The sequence below is a fragment of the Homo sapiens genome, chromosome 2 (genome assembly GCF_000001405.40).
Source record: "Homo sapiens chromosome 2, GRCh38.p14 Primary Assembly".
NCBI lineage: Eukaryota > Metazoa > Chordata > Mammalia > Primates > Hominidae > Homo > Homo sapiens.
The window spans coordinates 79,070,160-79,079,265 of NC_000002.12; positions in this window are offsets into that span (position 1 = coordinate 79,070,160).

The window sequence follows — 9,106 nt, forward strand, 5'->3', positions numbered from 1 at the left end:
AGCTTGATGGCATAGCTTCAAAGAGGGGTCTGGCTGGGGACAGCCAGTCTTCAGGGGACAATTACCTTCCCACTCTGTCCCCCTTTCAGCTCCCTCTCTGGCTGAGATCCACTTTCGTCAGCAATAAAATCCCCTGTATTTACCATCTTCAATTCATTCATGTGACCTGATTTTTCCTGGGTTGCAGATAAGAGCTCAGAGCCACAAGTGTGAATGCAAAAGTCTGTCACAATGACCCTCCATTGACATAAGCCATCCAGGGATGGCAAAGCTAAAAGAACACTGACCATAACACTCCCTCTGGGGCTTCAGGGGTCACAGGCACCCCCCTAGATGCTGCTCTGGGGCTGGTACGGAGTTCATTCCTGCTGGTGCCCAGTAGCACTTGCCCTGGCTCCTGCACCTGCTCAACTGCATGCTCCCCCAACTGCAAGGGGTTGAGAGCTGTGGGCTAAGTGAGGCACCCCTGTTGTGAGGCTTGTGAAGGGGTCAGGGAAATATCCTGCTTCACTAGCACAATATGGAAAAGAGAGAGATTTAAAACAAATAACAACTGACAAAGTTCTCTCATAAAAAATATTTATTGCCCCAATAGCTGTATACCCATTAAGATAGATACCTTTATTGCTTACATATGTAGCAGGCCAAATTTCACATGTATGGTAATAAAATTAAGGGCATTTATTGGCAGTCACTTTGGTTGCAAAGTCATGCCTTTTTCAGGGAAGTCATATTTCCTGTCCCTTAAAAATGTATCTCCTTGTCTTCAGCAGCCACAAGGTCCTATTCTCTGACCTAGTTTTGCAAAGTTCTAGGAAGCTCATTTCAGGTCTTTCCCATCATATTTTCTCTGAGAGTATTCTGATAGATGAAAGGGTGAATATGTCCTACACACCTAGTGTTAATGCCTCCCCAAGTGGGGCAATTCCTTTGTAAGCCTCCAATAACATTTAGGAAGTTTCAAATATATAGATGATATTTTATGTTACTGGCCATCTTCCAGAAGCTATTTGCTGCTTTCTAACCTTATAATCTAGATTTTAAACTTGCTGTGGAGAGATACTCACCCTCTTGTTTACATTCTTGGCAGGCAATGTGAATAACAGCCTTTCTGCTAACTTCAGACTGGAAAGAAAAGGAGCTGAGAAATTACCAGATGCACCAAGGATCTTCCACGGCCTGATGTGTTCTGTAGATGTAAGAAAACCTCCTTATAACTTAGCCTCTTCTGCTTCACAGGAAAGCTCTAGTTTATTTTAAACAAACTTACATCGTATGGTCTCTATGCCAGGCACTATTCTAAATGCTTGACAAACAGGAACCCACTTAATTCCCATGAAATCCTAAAAACAGAGGTGCCATTTGCCACCATATTTAACAGATGAAGAAACTGAGGGTCAGAGAAGGCCTAAGTAATTTACCTAGGATCAAGCGGCTACTATGTATTGAAGTGAAAATCAAACACAAGCACAAGTTTTGCTCTAGGGTCATTTAGTTATCACAACTGTCTTTCTGAGATCTCTCTAGTTTTCTTCACATTCAATCCATTCAGCTCTCTGAAGCCTTACTGGATTCGGTAAAAACATACCGATGAATCATAGCCATAGCTGCGAGCCCCACAGGAAGATCTTAAAAAGCAAATAAATATGAGGCACTACGCACCCAATCCTTAGCACACAATTAAATTTGACTTTTATATTTACCGGTACCACAATCGTTTTTGTGTGTGTTTGGAGGCATTGAGAATTTTTTTTTTTAAATCTTAGCACAGATATGACCAACCTCCAACAAAATTCACAAACAAATGGGATCAGATAACACTTGAAGTTTTAATGGAAACTTGAAAGGCAGGAAGCAAGTCAGGACTCTTCCTCTCTTTTTGATATCTCAGGACTTGTCCATGAAAATAAAGGACATAAAAATGTTCAGAAAGGACTAAACTCTTAGAATAAGCCATCCAAGATCTCTCCCTCTAAGTCTTGCACCCTTGAGCAGTCAAAAACACATAGTGTATCGAGACCCCATTATTTGCTTTTTAATTTGAGTATGGAGTCTAAGAAAAGTTGTGAATTCCTCAAATCCAAAAAGAGAAGCTATTTTCCTGTGAATCCCTCTTTATAAAGGAAGTCTTAAATTGCAATTCTAAGCAGAGGGCAATGAGAGAAGTTCACAGGCCCTATAGAGGGCACTGATGCAAGGAAAGCCCAGCATCAGGAGAAGCCTCTTCCAGGCACATCCTGGGAGTGGTCACACAAGAGGTCCCTTCCACAAACAACTTGGCAAACTGTGAGAGTCAAGGGCAGGCTTTGCCCTTCCCCAGCAGCAATGAGATGCCCAGTTCCCATGGCCCTGAGCAGCCCAGGAAGAAGCAGAGATCTTCCAGGAATGGTGATAATGGGTATGAGGGAAGGACCCTGGGAGGAGGGGCACTGAGTGTGTGAGCCTGGAGCAGGACCATCTGTGAGACAAGAGAGGCAGCAGGATAAGATGTGGAGCACCCTGCTTGGGGCAGTGGAGAAATGGAGAGACACAAGTTCAGGGCGTCTTAACATTATTCATCATGGAGGCCTCCTCTCCTGACCAGGCATGCACTGAAAGGAGCCTGTGGAAATAGAAACTCCAATGGAAGAAGCTAAAGGTTCTGGGGACTGCACCTTACACCTCACTGCCCCAAATTAATAAATCAACTCTAATGCCTCTTTAGAACTGTTGCCAGATGCAGTGAGGAGAAAGGGAAGGAGAGTAGTGATAATGACAATTCATGCAGCTTAACAAATTCTGAAAACTATTGTCTTTCTGCTAAACACATGATAGTGATGATTAAAGCTTAAACTATAATTCTGGCACGAAGTGTTCAAATACACCGTTTTCTAGTCCAGAGTCCATGTTATTTCACTTGAACAAACACTTGCACTATGATTTTCATGTTTTGAAAAATATAAGTGTTTTAAATATGTTGAATCCTTTTCAGTCTCCCTACACAGAAGATAGATATCATTGAAAAGAAAAAAAAAACGCTCATGCACACAAAGTTAAAGTGACTTGCCCCAGGATGGCACAATAATTACAACAAGTGGCACAGATAGCATTTGGTTCCAATGATACACCAGGATCTGTGCTCTTCACCTCTCTGCCCTATCACTCACCCTGCAAAAGCTGCAAAATTCTGAAACAACTGGAAAGAATGGCAAGTTATACATGGATGAAATCACATGTGGTTCATTTCTCCCTCTTAGAAAAGGACAGGGGTTCAGAGAATTTAAGCGTCTGAACCACTATCCAATGGTTGTGGGAAAAAACACTAAAACACCAATCCACTTCCCAGCCTGATGTTCTTCTACCACTTAGCTCCTCCTTTCTCTGCAGATGCCAGCAGCTGTTTTCCTTTGTGGTTATTTTGGAAAAGCTTCCCATCCACAACCTTGTCTCCATTGGAAAGCTCAAGTAATTGTCATATCATCCTCTGAGTGTCTTCAGTCTCTCAAGTTTCCGAACCACCATCACACTTCCTCCATGTAAACACTTCACAGACAAACAAAGTCAAACTCAGTTTTGTGAATACATTGTCTCTACTATTCAGTTGCTGGACCAGTTAACTAATCAACTGAGGTTGCTAATGAGGTTTGATCTCTTTCTCTGAGACTCCCAGGGAGAAATCACTCTGGCAAGGACTATTGCCAGCTGGCCACCATAGCTCTATGGGCGGTAGGGCCAAATTTGGTTTGAAGAAAGATCCAACAACTCTGAGCCTTAAGATCTGAGTGAATTACCTTTTATAAGGGTAGTGGATCCTTGAATCTAAAACATGAAAAGCTAAATCACGAGCCATGTTTAGAGCCACCACGTATGAAACAACATGGGCATTTCCAAACACACATTGACACTAGCTAGAGCAGCAGCAGAAATATAAACTGCCCTAAGATCTGAAACTTAGGAAAAGAGATGGAGTTTGCAGGCCAAGACTGGATTCTCCCTCACATGAAAAGATCTTCTCCTCAGAAGAACAACAGCATGCCTCCAAGGCATAGTATATTCACAAATCTAAAATGAAAGCCTAATGTCTGTCTGTGTATGTTTTAAGGTTAAAGAGTAAAGAAGGTAATCAGATGACCATTTAACTTCTCAATTATAGTAATTGAGCAGATGAGTATTAACTAGGGCCCAGATAAATCAAGATGATAGGTGAATCAGGATAAGCAAATCAGGATGTTTGTCCCCCACAAAACTTATGTTGGAATTTAATTTTCATTGTAACTATATTAAGAGGTGGAATCTTTATGAAGTGATTGAGTCATGAGGGCTTGGACCTCATGAGTAAGATGAATGCCATTATAAAAGAGGGAGTTTGGCCCCCTCTGCCTCTTTGCCTTTTTGCCTTTGGTCAGGCGGTGATGTAGCAGTAAGGTCCTCACCAGGTGCAGTAACTATATCTTAGATTTCTAGTCTCCAAAACTGTGAGAAAATTAATTTCTGTTTATTATCAATTACTCAGTCTCAGGTATTCTGTTGTAACAGCACAAATGGACTAAGACTGGAAGAATGTCTACCTGATATCCCTTACTCCTTCGCCAGTATCAGAACCAATCATTTACATGATACGTCATTGTATCATGCTAAGAATATTTTAGACTATTTTGCATTAGAGTTTACAAATGCAATTTGGTCTTTACGTGTGAGATATGTATATATGATATATATTCTGGATATAAGTATTTAAGTATATATCCAGAATATATGCATTTTGGGCTTAATATACCTATTTGGGAATTATAAAAGTTTTCTTTAAAAGATCACTCAAAACTATCATCTGTAGGAATTATTTACCTGCAAAATATATTGGTTTAGAAGGGTGAAAAGGATCAAGTTAGCTGATAATTGTTAAAATTCTCTACCATCCCTATGCATCTTTTAACATAAGATAAATTTTAATCATATTTAGCCATTTTATTTTTAATTTTGTAATATTTATAGCTTAACCCCATTCTAAATTGAACCAGATGGACCTTAGCTGAAACGATTTCATCTGCAGACTCTACCTATAGGGATCTGCTCAGCAACAGGTCATTAGGGGGATTTGTTTAAGTCCTGAGTAGTAAAAAAAAAACTGCATTTACCATCAGCAGCTTCTGGAAAGAAAAATAAAAAGAAAATCAGTAAAAAACTTTGAATAGGTTTATCATAAAACATTTTTGAAACTTAGAGAGAAGAGACAATTTTCTAGAAAAGTCTATCAAACTCACTCCAAAAAATAGGAAAATTGAATGGATTTACAGTCATTAAACAAATTAAAATTTAAGCTACAATACATAAAGAACCATTTAAGCTACAAACACGAATTAAAATAAATAACCCTGTTCATAGTACTTTGAAAGGTTTGAGGCCTGAGAGATCTTACAAGTCTTCAATAAACAGATAATCTAATCTTAAAAGAGGAAAGTTTCCAGTTCATTCATAAATATATTATACTTTTAATACCAGGTCTGAATAAAGGTTATATGAAATATAAGAACTAGAAATCTGCAAAAATTATAAACTTAGATAACCTGTCAGAAATTCAAAACATCTATATGAACAGTGTAACAAGCTGACTGAGTATTCAGGATGAAAATCATATTTTTTGTAACATAATCTCAGTAATGGCATCCATCACTTTGCTGTATTTCATTTCTCAGAATCTAGTCACTATGCCCAGCTGACACGAAAGGAGAGAGTAGTACAGAAGGATTTGATTACTGGAGGGTGAAAGTCATGATGTGGCAAGGAGCTAAACATCAGTTTGATTAACATGTAGATTATTTCCATTTTTTTTTTGTCCGTTAAAAATTATCCTGCTAAGAACATTTGTATACAAGTCTTTGTGTGAACATAAGTTTCCATTTCTAGCCAATAGGTCCCTAGAAATAGAATTGCTTGATCATATGGTAACTTCATGATTAATATTTTGAGAAGTTGTCAAGCTCTTTTCTAAATCAGCCACATGGTTTTACACTTCCCACCAGCAGTGTTAGAGAATTGCAATTTCTCTACATTATCAACAGTGCTTGTTATTATATTTTTTTATTATAGCCATATTAGTAGGTATGTGAGGTACACTCTCCTTACAGTTTTGGTTTCCATTTTCCTCATGTCTAATGATGGAGCATTTTTCCATAATTAAGCATATTTCCATGTCTCTTTGGCCATTTGTATATCTTATTTGGGGAGATGTATTTCAAATATTTTGCTCATTTTTAATTGTATTATTTGTCTTCTAGTATTGAGGTATAAGATACAGATATGAGACTTGTATATAAGATATGCAAGATATATGTACAAATATTATATATACATATATCTTATATATAGATTCCTTATCAGATGTATGATGTGCAAGTATTTTCTACCATTCTATGAGTTGTCTTTTCACTTTGTTGACTGTGTCCTTTTAAGCACAAAATCGGTAAATTTTATTGAAATCTCATATGTATTTATTATATTTTAAATATATATATGTATATATTTACCACCTGTGCATTTGATGTCGTAACTTTAAAAAACCATTGCCTGTTCCAAGGTCACCAAGGGTTGCTTATATGATTTCTTCTAGGTGTTTTGATGGTTTTATCTTTTAAATTTGTCTGTGATCCGTTTTGAATTAATTTCTATGTGTAGCATAAAAATGGGAAGAAATTGACCAGGTGTGGTGGCTCACACCTGTAATCCGAGCACTTTGGGAGGCCAAGGCAGGCAGATCACCTGAGGTCAGGAGTTCGAGACCAGCCTGACCAACACGGAGTAACCCCATTGAATATTCTTCTCTGCTGAATTTCTATGACACATTTATCAGAAAAAAAAAAAAAAACTAGCTGTAAATGAAAGAGATTATTCCTGGATTCTGAATTCTCTACCACTGAAATCTGTGCTTATCATTATGCCAGTTCCACAAAATCTTGATTATTGTAGCTTTGTAGTAAATTTTGTAATCTAGAAGCCTAAGCCCTCCAATGTTGTTTTTCTTCATCCAGATTACTTTGGCTGTTCTGAATTTCCATATGAATGTTAGGATCAGCCTGTCAATTTCTGCAAAAAAGCCATCTGGTACACTGATAGGGATTGTGATAAATCTATAGACAAATCTGGGGAGAATGTCCACCTTTATACTATATTATATTATGGTCACTGAACAAGAGATGTATTTTCATTTATTTAGATTGCTGATTTCATTTGCCAGTGTTTTTCACTTTTAGTATACAAAACTTGAACTTTTTAAAAAGTGAATTTCTAAAAGTTTTATTCTATGTTAATGCAATGAAATTGTTTCTTGATATCATTTTGTAGTTTTCATTGCTAGCATATGGTTTTTCCTACAGAATGTTTCTCGTATGTTTGAGAACTCTATGTTTTGCTGGTGTTGGGTGAAGCATTTTGTAGATATCTGCATGATCCAGTTGGATTAGAATATTTTCAAGTGTTCTACTTCTTTATTGATCTTTTAAGTGTTCTACTCACTATTCTAAGTGGTGAATTGAGATGTATTATTATTGAATTATCTACTTCTCCTTTTAAGTCTGTCAGTTTTTGTTTCATGTATTTTGTTTTACTTTTTTATTATTATTATACTTTAAGTTCTGGGATACACGTGCAGAACATGCAGGTTTGTTACATAGGTATACATGTGCCATGGTGGTTTGTTGCACCCATCAACCTGTCATCTACATTAGATATTTCTCCTAATGCTATTTCTCCTTTTGGTCCCCACCCCCTGAGAGGCCCCAGTGTGTGATGTTCCCCTCCCTATGCCCATATGTTCTCATTGTTCACTTCCCACTTATGAGTGAGAACATGCAGTGATTGGTTTTCTGTTCCTGAGTTAGTTTGCTGAGAATGATGGTTTCCAGCTTCATCCATGTCCCTGTAAAGGACATGAACTCATCCTTTTTTATGGCTGCATAGTATTCCATGGTGTATATGTGCTACATTTTCTTTATCCAGTCTATTATTGATGGGCATTTGGGTTGGTTCCAAATCTTTGCTATTGTGAATAGTGTTGCAATAGACATACATGTGCATGTGTCTTTATAGTAGAATGATTTATGTTCCTTTGGGTGTATACCCAGTAATGGGATTGCTGGGTCAAATGGTATTTCTAGTTCTAGATCCTTGATGAATTGCCACACTGTCTTTCACAATGGTTGAGCTAATTTACAGTCCCACCAACAGTGTAAATGCGTTCCTGTTACTCTACATCCTCTCCAGCATCTGTTGTTTCCTGACTTTTTAATGATTGCCATTCTAACTGGCGTGAGATGGTATCTCACTGTGGTTTTTGATTTGCATTTCTCTAATGACCCACGATGATGAGCCTTTTTTCATGTTTGTTGGCCCCATAAATGTGTTCTTTTGAGAAGTCTCTGTTCATATTCCTTCACCCAATTTTTGATGGGGTTGTTTGTTTTTTTCTTGTAAATTTGTTTAAGTTCCTTGTAAATTCTGGATATTAGCCTTTTGTCAGATGGATAGATTGCAAAAATTTTCTTCCGTTCTGTAGGTTGCATTTTCACTCTGATGATAGTTTCTTCTGCTGTGCAGAAACTCTTTAGTTTAATTAGATCCCATTTGTCAATTTTGTCTTTTGTTGCAATTGCTTTTGGTGTTTTAGTCATGAAGTCTTTGCTCATGCCTATGTCCTGAATGGTATTACCTAGGTTTTCTTCTAGTTTTTTTATGGTTTTAGGTCTCATGTTTAAGTCTTTAGTCTATCTTGAGTTAATTTATGTATAAGGTGTAAGGAAGGAGTCCAGTTTCTGTTTTCTGTGTATTGCTAGCCAGTTTTCCCAACACCATTTATTAAATAGAGAATCCTTTCCACATTGCTTGTTTTTGTCAGGTTTATCAAAGATCAGATGGTTGTAGACATGCAGGTTTATTTCTGAGGCCTCTGTTCTGTTCCATTAGTCTATATATCTGTTTTGGTACCAATACCATGTTATTTTTGTTACTGTAACCTTGTAGTATAGTTTGAAGTCAGGTAGTCTGATGCCTCCAGCTTTGTTCTTTTTACTTAGGATTGTCTTGGCTATACAGGCTTTTTGTTGTTGTTGTTGTTCCATATGAAATTTAAAGTAGT